The sequence below is a fragment of the Homo sapiens genome, chromosome 8 (genome assembly GCF_000001405.40).
Source record: "Homo sapiens chromosome 8, GRCh38.p14 Primary Assembly".
In the NCBI taxonomy this organism is placed as follows: Eukaryota; Metazoa; Chordata; class Mammalia; order Primates; family Hominidae; genus Homo; species Homo sapiens.
Window position 1 is genome coordinate 51,755,864 of NC_000008.11, and position 25,984 is coordinate 51,781,847.

General features: G+C 39.5%; 1 protein-coding gene and 1 long non-coding RNA gene across 9 annotated transcripts in view, besides 1 other annotated feature; both read right to left on the minus strand.

Moving 5' to 3' along the window:
* Positions 1-25,984, minus strand: part of PXDNL (peroxidasin like) — a 489,869-nt gene that overhangs the window by 436,287 nt on the left and 27,598 nt on the right. The gene's annotated exons all lie outside the window — the stretch shown is intronic.
* On the minus strand, positions 872-24,118 carry LOC105375833 (uncharacterized). Of its 2 annotated transcripts, none has more exons than XR_928869.3 (3): positions 23,677-24,118; positions 4,351-4,419; positions 872-1,596 (listed from the first exon to the last, which is right to left on the minus strand). It is a non-coding gene; the product is annotated as an uncharacterized LOC105375833 (long non-coding RNA). The 2 variants fall into 2 exon arrangements; XR_928868.3 differs by lacking the exon at positions 23,677-24,118 and adding an exon at positions 14,926-15,793.
* Positions 20,073-20,273: a silencer, noted in NCBI's record as "peak7013 fragment used in MPRA reporter construct". NCBI's record gives its function as "represses an SCP1 promoter by STARR-seq MPRAs in K562 erythroleukemia cells {active_cell/tissue: K562}" and the evidence as "EXISTENCE:reporter gene assay evidence [ECO:0000049][PMID:32103011]".

Below are 25,984 nucleotides of genomic sequence, written 5' to 3' on the forward strand. Positions count from 1 at the left end.
ACTGTCAATAAAATTATTTTTAGGCGATATTTAGACTCAGAAAAAATAGATTTTCCATATATTAGGTTGGTGCAAAAGTAATTGCGGTTTTTGCTATTGCTTTCAATGGAATTAGAAATTCTAAGGACAGGTTGCAAATAAAATTATCATTATCCTAGGATAAAACTACAATATTTTTTAAATGTATCATATACATGAGTATCACATGTATTATAAATTACACCATCTCTTAAAAAAAATCTGAATTCAACCGGGTGCAGTGGCTCACCCCTGTCATCCCAGCACTTTGGGAGGCCAAGGTGGGCAGATCACTTAAGGTCAGGAGTTCGAGACCATCCTGGGCAACAAGGCAAAATACCATCTCTGCAAAACATACAAATATTAGCTGGGCAAGGTGGTGCGCCGGCAGTCTCTGCTACTCATGAGGCTGAGGTGGGAGAATGGCTTCAGCTCAGCAGGCAGAAGTTGCAGTGAGTCCAGATAGCATGATTGCACTACAGACTGGGTGACACAGTGAGACCCCATCACAGAAAAAAAAAAAAAAGGAAAGAAAGAGAAAGAGAGAAAGAAAAAGAAATGCCTGAACCCACACAATACTTATAAATTTTTTCAAATTTTTCTTTGCTGAAATATTTCATAGAAAACCTATGATTAAGACATCTCAGTATATAATGGTGAGAAAATAGTATCTATATACATTAGTTTTGGAATTATTTGTACAGGAAGCTTCATAGTAATGCAAATATTTCCATTTCCTTTTTCTAATGTCCTTATATTTTACAGCTATGTTACTTTAGATGTATCACATGAAATATCTTTCAATTTAGAAAAAAACTTTAAAAATTATTTTATTGTAATTTTTTCTCTCACTTCATTATGCATTAAAAGATAATTTCATTTTTATTTTGCCATTCTAGATAGTTTTAATTTGTTTTTTTTTAATCTGTACTACATGTTCAGACATTCTAGCTTCAAATTCCAAAATCATGTCTTCTAGACTTAGAAACTATCCACTCTTCTCAAGAAATGTTGGATAGTCAGTGTCAAAAGAAGCATCATTATGTTTGGCTAAAAAGTGGATATTCGTATGTTTAGAACATCATACCAAAGTTTTATATTGGTGATTACTTCTTTTTGTCAAATAGTACTAATTGTTTTGCTATTTGTTCATAATTTTTCAGTTCTAGTCATTGTATCAGGTATACTTTTCTCTGATAGTGATTTTTTTTTAATATTCACTTAATCAAGAACCTAAGTGTTTCCATCACAAATAACTTCATTGCCCAGAGGTGGTCTTGAAGATTGGCTATAAAACATGTAACAGTAGTAACAAGGATATACTATCTTTGAACTTAAAATAAGGGTCAATTCCTCTAGACTTGTTTTCCATCCAGTGAAAAATTGCAGTCATTATTCTGAATCAGATTGTTTTCTAAAAGAAAACCTCCTGACATCGAGGATTGAAAGGCACCCTCCAGGATCAGCTTCTGTAAGACAGCAGGCTCCGCAGTGCCCATCATCTGCACCCGTGGCTGGTTCTGGGAGGACAGCGTTCCTTGTCTATCAGCTGGCCCAGCTGCCTTTGCTGCTTCTAAGCTGGGAATTAGATGGGAACACTTTTGTGATTTATTCTTGTGATTTTGATCAGTATTTCAACCTTTGCTTAGTAAAAAATATAAACTTTCATGGAGTTTATCAGACCTGATTACCTGGGATATGACGAGAAAAATTTTCTTGCTCATCTCCATTGTTATGGCCAGTAGCAAAAGTCTAAATCATCTGCAATGTCCAATTGGCTTGTTTTTATTACTTTGATCAGTAACTAAATCTGGAAAATGTGTTTTGTACTCTTTGCAAATTTTATATGGGTCATGCTTGACAGAAGCCTACTCTTTCTTTCATTGTTTCAGGAATTTAAAAATGTAAGCAGATTGCCTCTGAATGTCTTTGGTTTTTTTCTGCTGCTTCCGCCCCTTTTCTGAGCTCTATTTTTGTCTTCTATTTCTAGCCCCATCTTGACATGAACTTATTCTAAGTGATCTAAAGAAATTTAAAAAATGTAATTGTATCCAAAGACTACAAAATTAGAATATATTCTCATGAAAATACCAATTAAATATAAAAAACTGAACATATTTTTCATGTACTTTGAAAAGTTTTTTTAATAATATAAACTACCTTAAAATTAAAGGCAAATGTAAATAATAATGTCAAATTTTAAATTAAATGTATTGAAATTCAACTAAAATCTTTTTCTTATGAAGATTTAATTACATCTTATTAAATATTTTTACAAAAGTAAAGCTATTTGTAATTAAACTTTCAAGGTCTTCCTAGTCACCAGTGGAGTCACCACCTCACACGTATTATAGCTAAACATACATATATATGAATGTAAGAATATTGTGAATTTAATAATAAGATGAATTGTCTAATATTCCTTAGCCACCATGTGCAAGTATCACAAATTCCATGCTAATGTATGAGTAATTCCCGACCATATTTGGTTCATAAAGAAATGCAAGGAAATAGATGTTCAACACTACATGGAAAAAATACTTTGCAACAATTAGAATGCTATTTCAAGCTGAGGGAAGGGATTTGACAAGTGATATGGTTAAGCTTTGTGTCCCACCCAAATCTCATCTTGAATTATAATCCCCATAATCCCCATGTGTCAAGGGCGAGACGTACTGGAGATAATTGGATCATGGTAGTGGTTTTCCTTATGCTGTTCTTGTGATAGTGAGTTTTCACGAGATCTGATGGTTTTATAAACGTTTGGTAGTTCCTCCCAGATGCATTCTCCTTCCTGCCACCTTGTGAAGAAGGTGCCTTCCCTTCACCTTCTGCCATGACTGTAAGTTTCTGAGGCCTCCCCAGTCATGCAGAACTGTGAGTCAATTAAACCTCTTTCCTTTATAAATCACCCAGTCTCAGGCAGGTCTCTACAGAAGTGTAAAAATGGACTCATACAGCCAGTTAATGTGCTTGTGCTTTCTCTTACCTACAAATTTCCACAGCTCTAATCCTCCCTGAGCAACAAAGCAGTGACTCTCTCCAGTGTTGCCACTGCTACTACCTATGAATCTTGGCAGATTTGGAAACTCAGTATCACCTTTTGTTTTGAGGACAAAGAGCAAGACATGGGGAGAAGCATTTCCTGGGGCTGGAATAGAATGGACCATGAGAATAGGAGTCAGGGTTTCAGGGTGCTCTGTGCCAGCACTGAGTACTGGACCTGATGTACAGAGGCTCCCAGGGGTTCTTTGTTTGCCCCCGCATTGGTTGAAGAAGGTACCTCATCTACTCAGTCTTGTGATGCTCTCCCACAGCCACTAAGCTCTAGCCAACCTCACTGCCCTCTTTCAGTCTCTGTCCAAATTTATTCCTGTCTTAGAATTCACATCTCTGCTTGGCTGCCTCTTCTATCTGAAAGCGTCAATTTAAATGCCACCTTCTCTGGCAGGCCAGCCCTGATGAAGTTTCTAAATAAGTTCATCCCCCACCACCAGTGCCCCCTCACTGCACTCCGCTTCCTGCATAGGACGTCTCAGAATTTGCACTCTGTATTTAATCATTTTCTCTTGATTATCTATGTCCCCGATTTGAGTGTGAGAGCCACAGGGAGGGCCATGAAGCACTCTGACCAGCACAAAATAGGCACGCCCTAAATACTGGAGGGAGAGAGAGAGTAGGAGAGCAGAGAATCCTCCTCAGGCAAGAATGACTGATGGATTAGTTCTCCATTTAAAAATACTTCCAGAGATGACCATTCCTTTGTCATGCTTTAAGAGCTGTGCTGCAAGAAACTAAATAGCAATAAGCAAGAAGAACACAAATTACATTGTTCTTATACTTGACTGAACGTCAAAGGAGCCAAGTTCCCCACCTGCTCCAGTTTCCTAGACAGATGTCTGAACATTTAATTTAACGTGGGTCTTCATTTCCTGCCCAGTGAAATATCTTGCTTGGTGACAGGGTTGTTACAAGGATGAATTGGCCAAGGCAATGCCCTCGGGGCACCTAACAGTCCTCAGTAAATCCTGCTGACCTCAGCCGCCCCAAAAGTTCAGGTGCTGTTTCTTGAGGGTCCACTTAAGGCCCCTCTCTAACTTCTCTATCAGTTCTGAGGCTACTCTTCTCCAGGTAAAGGAAGAAACTCGAATTCCCTAATAATTAGCTCAGAACCCAAGCTACCCTTGTTGGAATTTATATTTTATAAACAAAAATGTATTTTCATATGTTAAAACTCGGAAGTCCATCAAAAACTGATTGTCTGTCAAGACTAATTTGGAAATCTCTCATTCTTAACAAGTTTAAAGAGTAAAAGTATATATTAATACTTACACAAGTACAAGTTAAGTTTCACACTTGATTGCCTAACTCCACATTCTAGCTGGTGTTTAGTCTAAGATGCTAGACCAGTAGGAAGGAATAAGAGAGTTAGTGAGGTTAGTAAAGCTCACAAAGTAGTATGGTTTACTAGGCTTAATTAAAAAAAAAAAAGCTATTGTGAAATTACAATGAGTAGCATTGTGTTCTAAATAAATATTCAGAGCACAGAAATAAAATGAATCCTCCCTTGGAAATTTGTCAGAGTGTGAGACAAACATGTACACTGACTTACTCATTTACTCAAATGCAAATTTTGCTGTTTGATGAAGTGCTTGAACTTTCTAACTCCATGTATGTATTGCAATGAGATTTAGATCACCTTCTATTTGAATAGCACATCATTTATAAAGCAGTTTTTAAAATAATATGAACTGGTGGCATTTTAAAACTTTAGCATTTAACATCCACTATTTGTACCAGCAAAGAGTGCCCATAGTCATAATCATGCGTGCACATTGGGATTCCAAAGTAACTTTGAAATTCCCTTTGTCTCTTTATAACAGTAATACTTGTGTGCTTTAGTTCATGGTGAAATCCCTGTTCCCAGCCAGGTTCATGGTTAGCCTGAAGGAAATCACTTAAACTTTTTTTTTTTTTTTTTTTTTTTTTTTTTTTGAGACGGAGTCTCGCTCTGTCGCCCAGGCTGGAGTGCAGTGGCGCGATCTCAGCTCACTGCAAGCTCCGCCTCCCGGGTTCACGCCATTCTCCTGCCTCAGCCTCCGGAGTAGCTGGTTCGACAGGCGCCCGCCACAACGCCCGGCTAATTTTTTTTTTTTTTTTTTTTTGTATTTTTAGTAGAGACGGGGTTTCACCATGTTAGCCAGGATGGTCTCGAACTGCTGACCTCGTGATCCGCCCGCCTCGGCCTCCCAAAGTGCTAGGATTACAGGCGTGAGCCACCGCGGCCGGCCTGAAATCACTTAAACTGTTTAGTATCTCCTTGAACTGAATGAGAGGCATTACTTGATATTTACAAACAGCAGGGTTCTCCAAAATCCCATGGCATTTGCTGAGAATGTATTATGAAGAACATTTCCTAGAAGCTAACAGCTCTCTTCCTGATACTTGCTAACCTGATGGCTTTGGTTTTACTCATCTGTAAAACGGGATGAGAAATAATTTCTGCTATAAGGGATTATTTTGAGGATTAAATGAGACTGTATTCATGAATTTCTTAGCTCATATCCAGTGCTCAATAACTGTCAGCCATTATTTTATTATTACCCCTGATAAATATTAAGGCTATGCCTCACCGTATTTATGTATGCATATACAAACATGTATAATATGCATATATAACGTATATTTACAACAAAAAGCTAAGATTTAAAGCTCTTAATAGATTTGCTCATGTCAGAGTTAAAATTTAAACCAGGGTTTTCTGGTATTCTTTTTCAAAATGTACTTCCACCTGTGATGACTGTACTTACCTTATCTGAAATATTTCACTTACTTTAGTGCCTCTAAAGTTTGTTGTCTGAGAAAAGGTATTCCAAAGATGCTTAGTGAAAAAAATAAATATAACAGAAAATTTCACCTTATTTAAATCATTTCACTTGCTAGATTAAAATTCTCTTTTAAACCTAACACTCATAATGTATTGCATGCCCACACACTAATTTTTAAATAAGTGTGCATTTTTTGGAAGCTGTGAAATGTTTCTATACTCTGCAGAGCAACTGGAAGATACAGAATCTTAGAGTGTAGGATTAACAGAGAACATGGGAAATAAAAGTAAAGCATATCTGAGAATAAAACAATGAGTAAATAGGACTCTGCTTTTAAGATTTATTTCTGTATAACTTCAAAGGCATACATCCATTGAATAAATGAGCTGGAAGAAATGAGGACTAGAGCTCTGATTTTTTTTATCTTGCCTAAATTCTTATCTAAGGGGCCTGGGGAGTCATGCCCTACAAACCATAAATTCTCACCAGATACATATTGTGACTTACTTTTCAATCTGCCTCTGGCATAACATTATGAGACAAGGAAAAAATATTTAACCCCAAAATATATTTCCTTGCCATACCTTGAAATTATCCTGCAAAGTCTCTTGTGGGAAAAATCCACATTCTATAGAGAATCCCCTTCCCCCTTTGTATTCCTTCCTTCCTTCCTAGATCCAGGAGATAATCAACTAAGAGCCAGGCAAGCTTTTAAGTCCAATAAGAAACAGTTCACAACCTGCTGCTCTCTCTGAAGTCTGCTATCTGAGAGCTTCCTCTGCACAATAAAACATGGTCTCCACAATCCTTTATCTTTAACCTGAACATTCCTTTCTATTGATCCCAGGTCTTTAGACAAACTCAACTAATTGTCAACCAGACAATATTTAAATTTACCTATAGCCTGAAAGCTCCCACTTTGAGTTGTCCCACCTTTCTGAACCAAACCAATGTATTTATTAAATGTATTTGATTGATGTCTCATGTCTTCCTAAGATATATGAAACAAAGAGGTACCCCGACCACCTTGGGCACATGTTCTCAGGACCTCCCGAGGGCTGTGTCACGGGCCATCGTCACTCATATTTGGCTCAGAATAAATCACTTAAAATCATTTTACAGAGTTTGACTCTTTTCATCACCAGAAGCTATATAGATAATCAACCCCAGTCTCTCATCTTTCAAATGAGAAAACAAGCCAAAGGGAAAAAAGAAGTATAACAGCTTTCTTGAGATATACTTTGCATAAAATTTATCTATTTAAAATGTACAATTCAGTGGTTTCTAGCATATTGACATAGTTGTACAACCATCACCACCACCTAAGTTTAGAATATTTCCAACACCCCATAAAGAAACTCCATATCCATTAGCAGTAATTCCCCCATTATCCCTTATACCCAGCCCCAGAAAATCACTAACCTGCTTTTCTGTCTCTGTCATTTGTCTATTCCAGATATTTATATAAATGATATCATAGAATATGCAGCGTTTTGTGACTGGCTTCTTTCACTTAGCAAAAATGTTTTCAAATATCATCCATGTTGTCGTGCATGTATATATATAAGAAACCTGCACATTGTGCACATGTACCCTAGAACTTAAAGTATTAAAAAAAAAAAAAAGAACCAAAATGGCGGAGTATGACCTTCCTGGGGCATTCAACTGGAAAAGGGACGAAGCCCCAGGCAAGCAAGCGCCAGACTCCAGTAAACACACTGTGCATGCTCACCTCCCAGGTGTCAGTAGGCCACTGCACATGCTGGCAGGTCACCCTAAGGGAAGAATCAAGGAAAAAGGGACGCAGGACCCCAGAAGTATGCCAACATATAGCACCCTAAGTCAAAGGTCAAATGCCGCACTTGACCTCCAGGATGCCCACTTGGGCCTCTTCCAAGTGTACTTTCCTTTCTTTCGTTCCCGCTCTAAAGCTTTTTAATAAACTTCCATTCCTGCTCTGAAAAAAAAAATTTATTCCTGAATATTTTATACTTTTATGCTATTATGAATGAAATTTTCTAATTGTTCACCACAAGTACATACAAATAAAATTGCTTTGTGTATATTGACCTCCAAAAAAAATTATCCATGTTGTAGCATGAATTAATACGTACTACTTTTTATTGCCAAATCATATTTCCTCCTCTTCAATTTTTTGGAAAAATCTGTGAAGAATTGTTAATTATCCTTTAAATGTATGGTAGAATTCTTCAGCGAAGTCACCTGGACCTGGGATATAGCTATGAGAATTTTTAAAATTACTAATTTAATCCCTTTACTTGTTATAGATATATCCACTCAGATTTTCTAATACTTCTTAAGTCTGTTTTGGTAGTTTGTGCCTTTCTAGGAATTTGTTCATCTCATCTCGATTATCTAATTTGTTCATCATATTGCCTTATAATCCCTTTTATTTCTATAATTTCAGAAATAATGTCCTCTCTTTATTCCTGACTCTAGTAATTTGTAGTAATTTGAGTCTTTTCTCTATCTCCTTTTTGGTCTAGCTAAAGATTTGTCAATTTTTTGACCTTTTTAAAGAGCAAGCTTTTTTGGTTTTGTTGATTTTGTCTATTTTTCTCTAGTCTCTACTTCATTTATTTCAGCTTTGAACTTTATGATTTCTTTCATTCTGCTTGCTTTGGGTTCAGTTTGCCTTTCTTTTTCTAGTTTTTTTTTTTTAAGTGAAAGTTTATTTATTTGATGTCTTTTTTTTTTAATATGGGCATTTACAACTCCAAATATCTCTCTGGCCATGACTGCAGCTCCACCCTATAAGTGTTGTTATGTTTTTACTTTCATTCATCTTAAAGTATTTTCTAATTTCCATTAATATTTCTTCTCTGAATCATTGTTTATTTAGATGTGTTTTGCTTAATTTCCACATAATTGTTAATTCCCCCATTTACCTTCTATTATTGATTTCAAATTCTATTCCAGGTAGTTAGAGATCATACTTTACATTTGTATTATTTCAGTCCTTTTTAATTTAGTGAGGCTTGTTATATGGGCTACCATATGAACTATCCTAGAGCATGTTTTATGTGCACTGAGAAAAATGTGTACCCTGCTGTAGCTGAATGGTGCATTACATAGATGTCTGTTAGGTCTAGCTGCGTTATGGTGTTGTTCAAGTTTTCTATTTACTTGATCTTCTGCTTAGTTACTCTATCCATTATTGAAGTATTGAAGTTTCCAACTATTACTGTTGAATTGTCTTCAGTTTAATCTGTTTTTGTTGCATGTGTTTTGGGGCTCTGTTATTGAGTGCATATATAATTATTGTGTCTTTCTGATGAACTAACCATTTCATTATTTTAAAACAGTCTCCTTTGTCTCTAGCATAAATTTGTCTTCAATTGTATGTTGTCTGATATTACTACAGCCACTACAGTTCTCTGTTGGTTACTACTTGCACGGTTGATATGGTTTGGCTGTGTCTCACCCAAATCTCATCTTGAATTGTAGCTCCCATAATTCCCACATGTTGTGGGAGGGACCCAGTGGGAGATAATTGAACCATGGGGGCGGTTTCCCCCTTACTGTTCTCGTGGTAGTTAATAAGTCTCATGAGATCTGATGGTCTTATAAGGTGAAATCCCTTTGGCTTGGATCTCATTCTCTTTGCCTGCCACCATGTAAGACATGCTTTTCACCTTCTGACATGATTATGAGGCCTCCCCAGCCACGCAGAACTGTGAGTCCATTAAATCTCTTTTTGTTTATAAATTACCCAGTCTCGGGTATGTCTTTATCAGCAGCATGAAAACTGACTAATACAACACTATTTCATTCTTTTCCTTTCAACTTATTTGTGTCTTTGAAGCCAAAGTGTGTCTCATTAATACAATATAGTTGGTTCATGCTTTTTAATGCATTCTGCCAATCTCTGCCTTTTAATTAAATGTTTAATCCATTTGTATTACTAATTAACACAACTATTAATAAGGTGGAATTATATTAATTTGTATCATATTTCATTAATATTATTATAAATAAAGATAAGGTGGGATTTACATCTTCCATTTACTTTTTGTTTTCTATATTTATATCTTTTTGTTCCTCTATTTCTCCATTACTGCCTACTTCTTTGTTAAATCAAAATTCTCTACTGTAGCATTTTAATTCCCCTGTTTATTCTTTTTTTTTTTTGAGATGGAGTCTCACTCTATCCCCCAGGCTGGAGTGCAGTGGTGCGATTTCAGCTCACTGCAAGCTCCGCCTCCCGGGTTCACACCATTCTCCTGCCTCAGCCTCCCACGTAGCTGGCACTACAGGCGCCCGCCACCATGCCCGCCTAATTTTTTGTATTTTTTAGTAGAGACGGGATTTCAGCATGTTGGTCTCAATCTCCTGACCTCGTGATCCACCTGCCTTGGCCTCCCAAAGTGCTGGGATGACAGGCGTGAGCCACCGAGCTGTTTATTCTTTTACTATATTTTTGGAGCTGTTTTCTTAGGGATTACAGTTAACATTTTAAACAACTCGTTTGCATTAATACCACCTTAGTTTTAATAGTATAGAAAAAATTTTGCTCTACAGCTCTGTTCCCTTCCCACTCTTCTATATTACTATTGTCATGCAAATTTCACCTCTGTATTTTTAAAATCCATCAACAGCATTTTGTCATTATTATTTTATCCAGTTTTCTTTTAAATCAGAAGAAACAAGTTACTAGCAAAAATAAATTTACACTTTTACCTATGTAGTATACTTTGCAGTGCTTTTTCTTTGTATGTATTTGAAGAACTAGTTAGGGTCCTTTATTTCAGCCTAAAAAATTCACTTTATCATATCTCATAGAGCAGGTCTGCTAGTGATTAATCCTCTCCATATCTGTTTATCTGGGAATGTCTTAATTTTCCTTCACTTTTGGAGGATAACTTTGCTGGATATGCAATTGTTGTTTGACAGTCATTTTCTTTCTACGCTTTGAGTATGTCATCCCACTGCCTGAAGTCTCCATGGTTTATAATGAGAAATCAGCTATTAGTTTTATTGAGGATTACTTTATTTGTGATGCATCTTTTTTTTAAAAAAAAAAGATGTCTTCAACAGATTGATTATGGTCTTTCTAGGGATGGATCGCTGAGTTTATCCTACTTGGAGTTCATTGAACTTGTTTGATGTGTATAATTGTTTTCCATCAAATTTTGGAATTTGCTGGAATTATTTCTTTAAATATTCTTTCCGTCCCCTTCTCTCCCTCATCTCCTTTTAGAACTATGATCATGTGTATGTTGGTGCCCTTGATGGTACCCCATGGAGCTTTTTAGATTCTCTTCATTTTTCTTCACACTTTTTAAATAATTTATACCTCTATTGATGTTTTCTATTTGGTTAGACATCATTCCTATGTCTGTCCTTCTATTCTTTAGATATAATTTCCTTTAGTTCTTGGAACATATTTATAACAGCTGATTTAAAATCTTTATCTAGTTAGTCCAACATCTGAGTTTTCTTATGGATAGTTTCTATTGATTACTTTTCCTATGCTTGAGCTATACTTTCCTCTTTCCTATATATGTTCCTCTTTGCCTTTCTCTCTGTCTCTCCCCCTCTTTCTTCTACCCTCCTCCTTTCTCTGTGAAAACTGAACATTTAACATAATATAATAAGGCAACTTTTAAAATCTGAACCCCTTCCTAGTTTTCATGTTTTTGCTGCTTGATTAGTGATTTTCTTGAGTGAGTTTTGTAAAGTCTGTATTCTTTGTCATGCGAGGCCACTGAAGTTTCTACTCAGTTAGCTAATTGTTAGTTAGCTAATTATTAGACAGAGATTTCCTTAAACACCTTGAACCAATCAGTCTCCCATGCTTTGTTCAGGGGCTGTATATGTATGTGTCCTGAGGCATGCCTTCAACACTCTGAAAGCTTACTACTATGCCTTAGTCTTCACTTCCTGTTTTGCAGGGCCTCAAAGGTCACCTACAGATACTCTTTTCAAATCTTTACTGCATATTTGCATGGTCTTCTAGATCCCCTGGAATATGTCAGATAAACATGTTTTAAAAGCCTGCTACAGGTGTTTCGTTTTCTAGATTTTCCTTTTAAGATTTTTGGCCGTCCTCTTGTTTGCCCTAACTTGTATCACTGCCAGGGCAACTTTGATATATTAAACAATTGCTGCTGATGTTTTCAACCAAAGCCCTGAGGATAACACGTTACAGAGATAATTATGAGTCAAGTCAAGTCAAGACATTTGTGAATCTGAATTTTCCAAAAAGTTTCCAGATAGAACAAATAATGACAATCATTGTTCTTTGTTTAGGATCTCCAAACCTGTTCTTTCCTCTTAGTGGTTTCTAGGCTCCTGATTTTCAGAGTTACCATGGCTGTGAAGCTGTTGGTTTTCAAGAGTACTGCGGAGCTGGGGTGAAAATGAAGGGGATCAGCTAAGTTAAAACATCACAAAGCAGTGAACAAAGCTCACGATTCTTACTGAGATTCAGTCACTTTGTATAAATGTTCCTTCAACTGTTGAAAACCTTTAGTTAATTTCCAGACTTATGATTATTTTTAATTTATTTTGTCAGATTTTATCAGTGTTTTTTTTTTTTTGTTTTTGCTTTTGTGGAGAAGTGGATTTTTGAAAGTCCTTGCTCTGCCATTCCAAAAGTGTTTCCTCTGGCCAAGAGAATTTAACTGACTTGTTCAAGGTAAACAGCTAGTTGATAATTAAGGCTTTATATGAACAGAGTTTTATGTCAAATTTGGTGACCTTTCTGCTATAATAGGGGTAAATAAATTATAGGAAGTTAACTTCATTATATTCAAGTTTATATATGAGTGAAACTTCTGGGAAAAAATAACTCATGAGAAAACTCATGATGTCAATAACAATCAAGTTCCAAATTTTCAGATAATTATATTAATACAGGGCTAGAACAGCTTTCTCAGCATTCAAAACAAGCCATGAATAATTTAAAGAAAAAAAGGAAAAGGAACTTGTGAGCTCTAAGCTGGGTTGAATCATTTATATGCAGATATGTGCACACACACTCACATTATAACTACAAAACACAGAAGTGTGGTATGTCCAACAACCACCATTCTATGTATTATAAATTAGGCCAAAACAGAATGAATAAGAATGCACATTGGCCAGGCATGGTGGCTTACGCCTGTAATCCCAGCACTTTGGGAGGCCAAGGTGGGCGGATCACGAGGTCAGGAGATCGAGACTATCCTGGCTAACACAGTGAAACCCCGTCTCTACTAAAAATAAAAAATGAAAAAAATTAGCTGGGAGTGGTGGTTGGCACCTGTAGTCCCAGCTACTCAGGAGGCTGAGGCAGGAGAATGGCGTGAACCCGGGAGGCAGAGCTTGCAGCGAGCTGAGTTTGCTCCACTGCACTCCAGCCTGGGCAACAGAGCGAGACTCCGTCTCAAAAAAGAATGTGCATCACTGACAGAGGAATTGTGGAATGAACTGCACATTTTCTATTTGAGTCATATCAAAGTCATTCCACCATTTATTAATGGTTTACTATGTGCCCAGCAGTTCATATGGGAAGATATGCTAACTGCTCCTCAGAATTTGTAGTTGAGACCCAGAATCAGATGAAGACTCAGCCAGCCCTGCATCCACTCTCATAAAACTGGTCCAGTAGTTACCATTACTCCAAAATGCTGCTCAAATATTGGAAAAGCTTGAAGAATTCAAATCTCTGCCAACTCTGGGCTCCTGCCACCTGTCTCTACTCTTACTCCAACTCATGATGGGATTAACCTTTAGCTTGTTTTCCACTTCTGGATTTGTGGCTGAGTAGACTTTATTCTGGTTCATGATATTTGGTAGTTGAAGCTGCCTTCACAACTATTAGCCCCAGTTTCTGATTTGTCATTCTTCAATGATGCCCTTTTTTCCTGTGATACATGTTTTGACATGTAATCATAGATATTTCACACTAAAAGAAACTTAGAACCACCATGCCTTAGAACTGAAACTGAAAGCTAATCTGATTAGGCTCACCAATCTTGACCTGCCTTGCTTGTTCTTAGTCACTTGCTTTTAGTTGATTTTAAAAACCATATAGCTAAAAGTCATGTAGCTAAACAATATATAACTAAACTCCCACCATCTTTCTTATAGACGGTATCTCTGATGCATAGGTCACCATGGAAATGTTTGCTTAAGGTGTTTTCCAGGAACTTGGAGTCAGCTCTTGTCCAGTTCAAGCTAGCTGAGACCACTGACCCTTCAACTGGACCTGAGTGAATGTCCAATGGGTGACTTTTTGAGGTCAGAGGGCCAAAATCTCCACCCTCAGATCATGGTAATGCTATTTTGTGAACATGCATCCCATGAAGAGCTATGACGCTTGACTACATTCGCACAGATCACTCATTACCTCATTTTTCCTTATACCCAATCACCTTTCCCCATGCTTCAGACCACCTTGCTCCTCTATCCCATAAATGTCCCTAAAACACCATCTCCAAGGAGACAGATTTGAGAGCTGTTCTCCCATCTCCTCACTTAGCTGCCTTGTGAATAAAATCTTTTCTCCACTGCAAACTTGTCATGTCAGCAATTGGCTTACTGTGCAACAGGCAGAATGAGCCTGGTTTTGTACAGAACCACACACACCATTCTTTCAACAAGCTATGACTGAATAGCTATGATCAAAGTGAAAAAGACAGTCTTGGCCTTCATGGAGCTAATAGTAAAGCAAAAACGGGGCTCCAAGAACACTGGTTTAGCTGGAGGGGCTCAGCATGGGGACGGAGGTGTCCAAACTTCTGCTCTGAAGGAGTTTTTTCCTCCGGTTTTTTGCTTGTTACAGAATGTAACTAGCTTTTCTCCCCATTGGTCCATGAGTCCAGGAAGAAACAGTCTTTATATAATCCTTTCCATGTCTCCTGCTGTCTCCTCCTGTCTCTTGATCAGAATGCACAGGCCTTCGGCAGGATCTGAGATGTCAACTACTCATCTAATTTAAAGTCAAAACAGGTACACCATAGTTCTAAACCAGGAAAATCACTCTTATATCACCAGTGAGATAGATGTCTTCATAGCAAATTAAGGTGGAGAGAATGAACATGTTAAAGTTGGGAGAAATATTTCAGGATACCTTGGGGCAGTGAGCCGTGTGGTGCCCGCTCTCAATGATGGATGGAGCCGCTTGGCAGGCAGCTATCAGAGGGAGAGCAGCTCTTCATGTACAAGACATAAACATCTCTCCAACAGTGACCACTACTGCACACCACACCATCTTCCCACAAAAGGAAAGTGCTGTTCCCACCAGCCATCACAGACACATGGACGGCAGCAGCAGCGATGGCAGAATCTTGGAATCCTAAAGACAATGACACACATTCCAAAGCATGCTGCTATCAGTCTTGTCTCTGGAAGCCAAAAACAACAGCAAAACTGAAGAGTGTTTTAAAATCATGGACCTACAGTTTGATTTTCAAAAATATGTCCAAAATAAAAATATGTCCAGCCAAATTCACCAAGTGACACAAGAAACATTCTGTGCTCCTGATAAATCTCAACACCACAGAGAACGTTAAGGGAACGTTTCAAAACAAACAAAGCCAATCCACAGCAGTCCTATATGACAAACTTCAGCAAACAAAGATTACACTTATCCATTCATTTACAGCAAACATTGAATTAGAGTTATAAAGAGTACACTTTACTATCTACACCAGAAGCTTATAATTTAGAGGAAAAATAAACATTTAAATTATGAATAATGACACAGTCTACCCACTGTAATCCTCACATGGCCCGCGGTGACACGCAAAGTGCCCTTTGGTGTGTCACGGATGGCTCCTGACCCTGCTCCCTGACCAGCAGTCCTTCAGATGCCAAAGACCCCTATCCTTGGGGGCAAGTAAGGAAAGACGACCCTGCAAGTATGTCACTTGCTTTTGGGGTAGTCCTTGAGCACAGAATAGAGACAGAGACAGAGAGAAAAAGAAAAAGAAAGACAGAAGCAGGGAAAGTCAGAGAACAATAAAAAAGAGACAAAAGAGAGAAACAGAGAAACAGAAAGAGAGACAGACAGAAAGAGACAGAGAGACAGAGAGAAAGAGACAGGGCTCTTCTACCTGGAAGCAGCTAAGCATGAAGTTTCTGGACCAGGCGGTGCTGCCTGTGGGTGGCAAGTGCTCCCTTGATTCCACACCTCAGCTACTGGTCCACACACGTGGTTCCTCTGCCTCCCTCTCCTCCAGCTGTGGCACTGATATATATCTGCGAGGTTCTCTGACACAACACGATTCCCCAGAAAGCAAAAGTATCCAGCCAGAAAAGAGAGAGTGGGTCATGTGAGGAGGTGTGGTCCAGTGGAGCAGCTGGGAGGGTCCACTGTGGCCCCCTCTTCCTCCATGCCCACACCACCCCTTGGTGTCTCTCCCTCTCCTGCTCACCTCGTAGGTTACTCACCCCGCACACCATGTCTCACCTTCCTCCTGTTTCCCACTCTCTTTGATGAACCAGCAGCACTGCCTGGCTCTGGGTCTCTCTCTCTCTCTCTCTGTCTCTGTCTCTCTCTTTCTCTCTCTCTCTATATACACACACACACACACACACACACACATATACAGCTGCTCCGATGGGTCACACCTCCTTGCATGCCCCACTCTCTCTTTTCTGGCTGGATACCTGTGCTTTCTGGGGAAATCGTGTGGTGTCAGAGAACCTTGTGGACTTTCAGGATCCAATTTATTTTTTCAGAAGAAGATTCTGATAAACTATTTTGAGGGTGGGTGGGAGAGCCTGGAGCCAGGGTGGCCTAAGCTCGTCTAGGCAGACCTCAAGCAGCTACTGTGGTCATCAGCAAGCTGGGCAGAGCAGGGAGACACAGGAACCACCAGGCCAGGTCAGCCCTGAGGACTCCAGGAAGGTTCTGGGGGAATTCGTTCAGAGCAGGGGGAGGCTGAGGATCCTAAGTTCGGGACTGATCTTATTTTGCCTTCAGGCTGGGGTGACCCAGTGTCTCTAGGGTTGTATGAAGTCTGTGTGGAAGGTGGGAAGGAGGAAGAGGCTGAAGACATGGGGCTGAGACAAGGTAGCATGGGTCTGTCCTGCAAAGGTCAGGGGCAGAGTTAATGAAGTTAGAGTCACCATAGAACCAAGAGGACCAGGGAACCAACTACAGGGAGTGCCACAGGAGTGTCTTGGAGGGTCCAACTTGGAAAATTGAGGGGCACTGACCCCATTAAAGGCAAAAGCAAGACAACTACACAAGGCATTCACTGCACACTAATGTGCCTGCTATGGTTCCAGGTAAATTACACACACCTACTTCAACACTTATAGCAACACAACTGTGATCTAGAGTTTCAAAGATAGATGTAGCCTGGAATATGAAGAGAAAGGGCTAAAATAGTTTGGAATAAAGAGGGTCAGAAATAGCAGGATGATAATAGGATGAACTATGGATATATGCAAACCCACACATTTGAAAACAAAAGCACTAGCTAACATTTGACTATTTGCTCTATGTCAAACGCCATGCTTAGCCTTTACATATATCATTTAATCCTCATGACAAACAAGGAGGTAAGTAGTTTTCTTACCCTCCTGCCCACGCTTCTTTTTTAAAAAATCATATTCAAGGTCAGTGCTAGTAAGGCAGGGAGCCAGCCACAGCTTCTGCCTCTAGAGCATGACGTGGGAAGCATCACATTACAGCCATTCTTTCACTCAGCCACAGGACACAGACACAGGCTTCTGTGGACCCTCTGGGAGAAGAAGGGGCTGTAAGACAGTCTCACTGCATAATGCTACTAATGAGCAGGGAGGGACATCATAGTGCAGAGAAACAGACTCAGGGTGAACTAGACACCAAAAAGGAAGACCAATAGCCCAAACACCTTCTAGAATTCCACGACCACCTTCTAGAATTTGTTCCCAAGCTTCCATCTCAGGAAACAAGAAGGGCAACCCAGATTTATTTTTGTACTGGGACTCCTCTTTAGAAGTCAAATGAAGTCAAATTACTTTGCTACAGTTTTACAATGCTAGTTACTTTTATTCACATTTATTAAGTTTAACATTCTGCTAAGAAACAATGTTTTCAAACTTTCACATTGAAAAGTCCTTCCTTAATTAAGCATATACAATTTACCATTTTCAGCAGTAATCCATTTGCACAACTAATTCCTCAAGATTATTCCACTGAACTGAATCTTTATGTGTAATGTACAAAAAACTGATTTGTAGCCTTTCTTTCTTTCATGAAATACTAGCTTAAACATTAGCACTGCTATGGGGATTAAGATTCAGAAAATCTTAGGGACATGTAAATTGAGATAATGAAAAGATAGTTAATATGTAGAATAGAATTTTAAATGAGCATTAAATACTAATTGTAAGTGTAATTTCAGCACTTTGAAATGAATGTTTTTATTCAGTCTAATTTAGAAGAAAGTCATTTAAGTAAAATTCTGCAATTTTAACTGTTTAATGGTAGTTGAAACAACAGAATTCTTTCATTTTATAATATTCAAAACTTTAAGTGACTGTTTAAACTGTGATTTGCATTCTGTTTCTGCTACTGTTTGAGGCGAATATCAAAACAGTTCTCCCCACTTAAAAGCAATAATGTTGCACCTCCTAAAATTAAAAGGAATGTAACTTCCAATAGTACTCACTAGTTAATAAAATATTTTTTACTAACTATCATTTTTAAAGGCTATTCTTTATTGCTTTCCAGAGAAGTATGCTCAGTGTTACTTTTTCTAAATTGTCCATGGTTAGGAAGATTAAAATATTAACAACTTTAGATTGAGTAGGTGTTTAATTTAACCATGTAAACCTTCTGACTATGTAAGTTCACAAAAGAGGCTTAAAAAGGTAAATTAGGGGGCTGAGCACAGTGGCTCATGCCTGTAATCCTAGCACTTTGGGAGGCTGAGGCGGGTGGATCATGAAGTCAGGAGATCGAGACCATCCTGGGTAACACAGTGAAACCCTGTCTCTACTAAAAATACAAAAAATTAGCCAGGCATGGTGGTGGGTGCCTGTAGTCCCAGCAACTTGGGAGGCTGAGGCAGGAGAATGGTGTGAACCCAGGAGGCAGAGCTTGCAGTGAGCTGAGATCACGCCACTGCACTCCAGCCTGGGAGACAAAGGGAGACTCCATCTCAAAAACAATAATAAAAATAAAAATAAAAAATAATTCCCCTATGTTGTTTTATAAAGTTTACATAAAATGTCAAGAAAAATACATTTAATATCATAATACATTTTCAATCCTCAGATACATGATACATTTTAAAGTTATTGTGAAATTTTACTCTGCATAGAATTCACACAGTCAAGAGGTTTCTGAAAGTCTATGGTAACAGAATGATTTATTTCCTTCTAAAATTAAATATGTACCTAAGTATAATGTAGTGGGTTTTGTTCTCCCATTAAATACATTGAACATATATTTATACAATTGTTATTCACTTAGGTAGGTTGCTTATTAATTACTATCTATCCACCCACAAAGGCCATTATTACAAATTTATAGGCTGATCTGATTACTAAAATAAGAAGACTCAGTAGTTTAAGAGTGAAAACAAAGCTAATGAAATTTTGCATTCCCCAAAGAGAAGAAGCTATGTAGAGAATAAGCAGAAAATCAGTTGTCTTAATATTTATTAACTTTATCATGAAATTAATCAAAAATACCAAAACCAACTTAAATGGCTCGTTATATTGCCATTCCAATGGGTAACATTTTCAAGTCCACATGGAATACATTTCTCTGATTCTCTACAGGGTTCATCAGTGTCACCCTGTGTTGCGGGAAGTCAAGGACCTTGAACGGAGGGACTAGCTGAAGCCATGGCAGAAGAACATAAATTGTGAAGATTTCATGGGCATTTATTAGTTCCCCAAATTAATACTTTTATAATTTCTTATGCCTGCCTTTACTGCAATCTCTGAACATAAATTGTGAAGATTTCATGGACATTTATCACTTCCCCAATCAATACTCTTGTGATTTCCTATACCTGTCTTTACTTTAATCTCTTAATCCCATCATCTTCATAAGCTGAGGATGAATATCACCTCAGGACCCTGTGATGATTGCATTAACTGCACAAATTGTTTAAACAATTTGAAAGCTGGGCACCTTGAAAAAAGAACAGGATAACAGCGATGTTCAGGGAACAAGGGAGATAACTATGAGGTCTGGCTGCCTGAGAGCAGGGTGGAACAGAGCCATATTTCTCTTCTTTCAAAAGCAAATAGGAGAAATATCGCTGAATTCTTTTTCTCAGCAAGGAACATCCCTGAGAAAGAGAATGCGTTCCCAAGGGGAGGTCTCTAAAATGGCCACTTTAGGAACGGCTGTCTTTTACAGTTGTGTAAGGAACGAAATAAGCCCCGGTCTCCTGTAGCGCTCCCAGGCTTATTAGGACGAAGAAATTCCCGCCTAATAAATTTTGGTCAGACTGGTTGTCTGCTCTCAAACCCTGTCTCCTGATAAGATGTTATCAATGACAATGCGTGCCCAAAACTTCATTAGCAATTTTAATTTTGCCCCAGTCCTGTGGTCCTATGATCTCGCCCTGCCTCCATTTGCCTTGTGATATTTTATCACCTTGTGAAGCATGTGATCTCTGTGACCCACACCCTATTCGTATACTCCCTCCCCTTTTGAAAATCACTAATAAAAACTTGCTGGTTTTGCGGGTTGGGGGGCATCACAGAACCTGCCGACATGTGATGTCTGCCCCGGACACCCAGCTTTAAAATTTCCCTCTTTTGTACTCTTTCCATTTATTTCTCAGGCCAGCCGACACTTAGAGAAATAGAAAAGAACCTACGTGAAATAGCATTGAATTATCGGGGGCTGGTTTCCCCCAATAACCCTGACAAAGTCTCTATCCTTGACTAAACCTTATACAGGCTCCTCTAACCCCCTCTTCTCAATGAGGCCTTGACCTGGCACCTTGCTTTTGGTCTGCTAGTCCAGTGGTAGCAAGAATACTGTTAAGTTGTATTTTTTAGCAAGAATTCCTCCCACCCTTGATGTACCCTCTTAAGTCATTTTCCATCCAATGATTCCCTCATTCTGCTTGCTGGGTGTAATTCCCCAGCTGTCCTGACTGTATTTAAAGTAGAGCCCCACCTCTTTCCCCTCCTGCAATGGTCTTGACATGTATCACAATAGTCCTAAATAATTTTTTCTTTAACTCTCTCCCTTCTGTTTTGTTCTGGTTTTAATGCTGTTTATTAGCCTAGGAACAAATGTAGACATAGACAGTCCACAACAGATGGCCCCTCTACACCTTACAGCTGGCAACTTATGATACGTCACTATGGGTTTACAAAAGTCCAGATTCAAACTTCCAATATTTTCATATTAAAGTAAAAGCAAAGCAAGTATACAAAGTAAAATGCTTTAGCTACTCATTTCCTATATGATGTCTTACAGCCACATGCCCATTTAATATATGCAAAATGGGTGATAGTCTCTAAAACCTGTTAAATATCACTGCTTCCTCCCATGGTGGGAATACGAGTTCCAATCTTCCAACATTGACCCAGTAGGGTGACTGTGGCAAGTCGCTTAATGCCTCTAAGCCTGCTTCCACATCCCCAAAGTAGGAATAACATTATTATCTACCTTATAAGATGGCTGCGATAATTAAATGTGTCAATACACACCAAGTGCTTGGGATGACACTTGGAATGCAAGAATTCTTAATCAACATAAACTGCACAAAAATAAATCAGAACAAGAAAGTGAAACCATAGCTGCCACTGGGTACCAACTGCCAGATAAAATATCAAAATCAGCCATTCACAGAAAGTGGTCCACTTATTTTCCAAGTTTATGTTCAGTTCTCAAGTTTCGGTTCAGTGAATTTTTAACACAAATTTAGTCAGTACCAAGTACACAGCCTTCATGAAGTCAACTGGATGTCATAAGTTATTCTTTGGTGTCAGCCAGGCAAGGTGTCTCATTGCCTGTAATCCCAGCACTTTGGGAGGCCAAGATGGGCAGATCACCTGAGGTCAGGAGTCTGAGACCACCCTGGCCAACATGGCGAAACCCTGTCTCTACTAAAAATACAAAAATTAGCCAGGCGTGGTAGTGGGCGCCTGTAATCCCAGCTACTCAAGAGGCTGAGGCAGGAGAATCGCATGAACCCGGGAGGCGGAGGTTGCAATGAGACGAGATTGTGGCACTGCACTCCAGCCTGGGAGACAAGAGCAAAACTCCATCTCAAAAACAAAACAAAACAACAACAACAAAAAAGTTATTCTTTGGTGTGTATTGGAAAATACAAAAGGAACAGAAATATAGAGCCAGGGATGAAAGCCATAGATACTAGCAAATGCTCACAAGCTCAAGACCTGAAGTAAATACTTATCAATTGGCCGGGTGTGGTGGCTCACGCCTGTGATCCCAGCACTTTGGAAAGCAGAGGCGAGTATATCACAAGGTCAGGAGATCGAGACCATCCTGGCTAACACAATGAAACCCCTACTAAAAATGAAGCTGAGGCAGGAGAATGGTGTGAACCCAGGAGGTGGAGCTTGCAGTGAGCCGAGATCGCGCCACTTGCACCCCAGCCTGGGTGACAGAGCAAGAATCTGTCTCAAAAAAAAAATCAATAAATTAATAAATAAACAAAACCAGTGAGACCTTGTATTCCTTCACAAAAGATTTTTCACTACTATGAAATTCATGACGGTGACTTTGGAGGGTGACTACTGGGAAGTTCTTTCCTGTCTCCCACACGGCAGGCTATGTTTCTTAACTCAACCTATGTAATATCCTCATCACTCCTCTCCACACACATTTTTTAAGACATAATTCGCTAATAGAGTGGTTACTATGGATCAGGAGCTCTTGAGGGATGTGATGCTCATTATTTATTTCCTACTCACAACTTTTCCAGTGAGATATTATTATTATTACAGAAGAAGATACAGGCTCCAAGAGACTGCACATGTTGCCCAAAATGACAGGACTGGAAAGTGGCAGAGCCATGATCCAAGCTCAAGTCAGCTAGACTTAACATCCAGCTCGTTCTTCTCTGCTTTGGAGCCTCCCACGCTTTCACTTTTAAATGAAAGATAATGATAATTCTTAAAATAACTGCTATGTCTTCTTTTTGGCATTCCAATTGCTGCCAGAAGCTATATTTTATTTCTGATTCAGTTCTTGCGAGTATTCTTCCTTTCCAACAGTATGCTCTTTTACTTTCTAAAGAACACACTGAATTTTGCTATTTACAGTTCTGAGATTTAAAAACTGACAATCTAGGAGGAACTTTTATGTTGCTGATGACTTTTCACTGGATCTTGACTTTTTTCCACTTCAGGGATATCACCCTGACCTGGCTCTCATAGGATTATGAAACACTATATCCACTGATAACCATAAACAAAGAAACATGTTAAAATAAATGACCACTAATGAAAAGGGGGTAGAGTAGAAAAGATAATACTGTAGTGAGACTATGCATAGATATTAACATTTTATGTTTATAGGTTGATAGCTTCCCATCAGTACACAAGCTCTGTGTGATTAAAACATGCCCTCCTCCCCTATGCACCTCATCAACCAGTTTCCAAGTGTCCTCTAGGCCAAGGCTGTGTGCAAGGGAAGGCCACACATATCATGATCTGACGGCGAGGCGAAGTCCCTGTGGGCACCTATGTGAGTTTCCAGGGTATCTGAGTGAGAACTGCCATCCAATCCAAACAACCTGTCACAAAAATCCCAGATGTCGGGAACCCCTGACAGTAAGAGTGAGGAAAGGAATCAAAACAGGCCCAGTGGAGATGGCACAGTACAGTCATGCAGGGCACAGAGAGGAGGGGATGGGGCTGACACTGAGAACTGGCCCATTACCTGGAGAAAGCCTGTGCCCAGAGAAGTTAGGCCCAGGCAGCAGAAAGAAAGGATGAGCAGAGACAGGGAGTGCTGATGGCACGCAGCTCCCAGTTCTGGTCCACCAAGTATGTGTGCCCATAAATTCTATCTCATGGATTCCGCTCTGACAATTGTGCATGTTCTTGGTAACCAGAAGGCTGCCACATAATAGTTGGCTGTCTTCATCCCTTTTCAGCTGTGACAATGATAGCAGCACAACTTAGGTCAAATATAATCACACACAAACACAAGGCAGGCAGGGACATCACTTGCAGGCTGTAAGGGGGCATCTCAAGCCTGGCTTTTCAAAGCACTGTTCCCACACTCACACTGTAGTCACCAGACAGCTTGTTAGAAACGCAGAGCCTCAGCCTGGTGTGGTGGCTCATGCCTGTAATCCCAGCACTTTGGGAGGCTGAGGTGTGTGGATCACCTGAGGTCAGTAGTTCAAGACCAGCCTGGCCATCATGGGAAATCCCATATCTGCTAAAAATACAAAAATTAGCTGGGCGTGATGGCAGGTGTCTGTAATCCCAAACTACTGAGGAGGCTGAGGCAGGAGAATCACTTGAATTCAGGAGGTAGAGGTTGCAGTGAGCCAGGATCACGCTGCTGCACTTCAGCCCAGGCAATACAGTGAAACTCTGTCTTAAAAAAAAAGAAGTGCAGAGCCTCAGGCCCTCCTAGGACCTGCTGATTCCAAACAGGCTGTATAACCCAGTGATTTGCATGCACAATAAAGTTTGAGGGACACTAATGTAGATAGCTGAAAATGCCACCAAAATGAAATAATATATATTTTCTCAAAGAAAATTCTCAGACACCCAAAAATACATATGTAAATTCCCATATGGGTTTCCAAGAACCCCAGGTCAAGAAACACTGTTCTAGGAGACAGTGCGCATACTTGTTTATCCTACAATGAGAAACCTTTAAAACTCATGGATGGGGAGTTTCTCAGTCAGTTTGGGCTGCTGTAATAAACTACTACCATACGCTGAGTAGCTTATAAACGCATCTTACAGTGTCTTCAAATAATGGATAGCTGAGGGAGCTCTCTGGGGCCTCTTTCTTTTTCTTTTTCTTTTCTTTTCTTTTTTTTTTTTTTTTTTTTTTGAGATGGAGTTTCACTCTTGTCACCCAGGCTGGAGTGCTGTGGCGCGATCTCAGCTCATTGCAACCTCCGTCTCCCAGGTTCAAGGGATTCTCCTGCCTCAGCTTCCCGAGTAGCTGGAATTACAGGTGTGCACAACCATGCCTGGCTAATTTTTGTATTTTTAGTAGAGACAGGGTCTTGCCATGTTGGCCAGGCTGGTCTCGAACTCCTGACCTCAGGTGATCCACCTGCCTCGGCCTCCCAGGGTGCTGGGATTACAGGTGTGAACCACTGCACCTGGCCTCTGGGGCCTCTTTCATAGAACACCAACCCCATTCATGAGGGTTCCACCTTTATGACCTAATGAGACCTCCATCTTCATGACCTAATCATTTCCCAGAGGACCTGCCGATACTAACACATTGGGGTTAGGATTTTAACACATGAATTTTGGGTGTCACAAAAACTTAGGGGTCTACAGCACATAGGTTAAATAAAATATTTATATTATAGGCATGCATTGTGGAAAGGAGACCTCTATAAATCAGAAGGCTGTTTCCTTTGTGACGAATGTTTTCTACAGTGAAAAAGCGGAGAGGAAGCATGCAGCCTCTTATTTCTCTGACTTTGTGTGCCTTGTGTAGATGCTTGGCGCACATGCATGCATGTGGCCTTGATTTGCTATTTTCTGCCATGTTGTTTGCAAGTGTTAAAGAATGAGTAAACTTGCAGCCATCATAAAAGAGCTGCTGATTCAAATGGCTTTGGGCTGCGAAGTCACCATCAGCTGGGACTTCACAATGCATGGAGATACATCAGCTTTCTGGGAACACCTCAGTTTTCCCGTGGCTCTTCGTCCAGTTGTAGGGTTTGGTCTCTTGATATTGATTCACTTTACAATTTTTCTGATTTTTACTTTCTTCTACTCATAACCTTCCTTTTAGTGGAAACTCTTCAGTGGCATAACTGCATTCACATAAAACATGTTTCCTGGGCTCCTACCCTGCCAGAGACAGGAAAAGGCCAAGGAAAATATGTTACCACAGGGGAGAAACAGGGTGGTCCAGCCTGGCAAGAGGTGCCTGATATCTGCTGCTCACATGAGCTCACGAACTCATTGATCCTTGCTATTCAATATCCATTTCCAGATATTATCCTCTGATGTCATAATCCAATCCAGAGCAAGAAAAG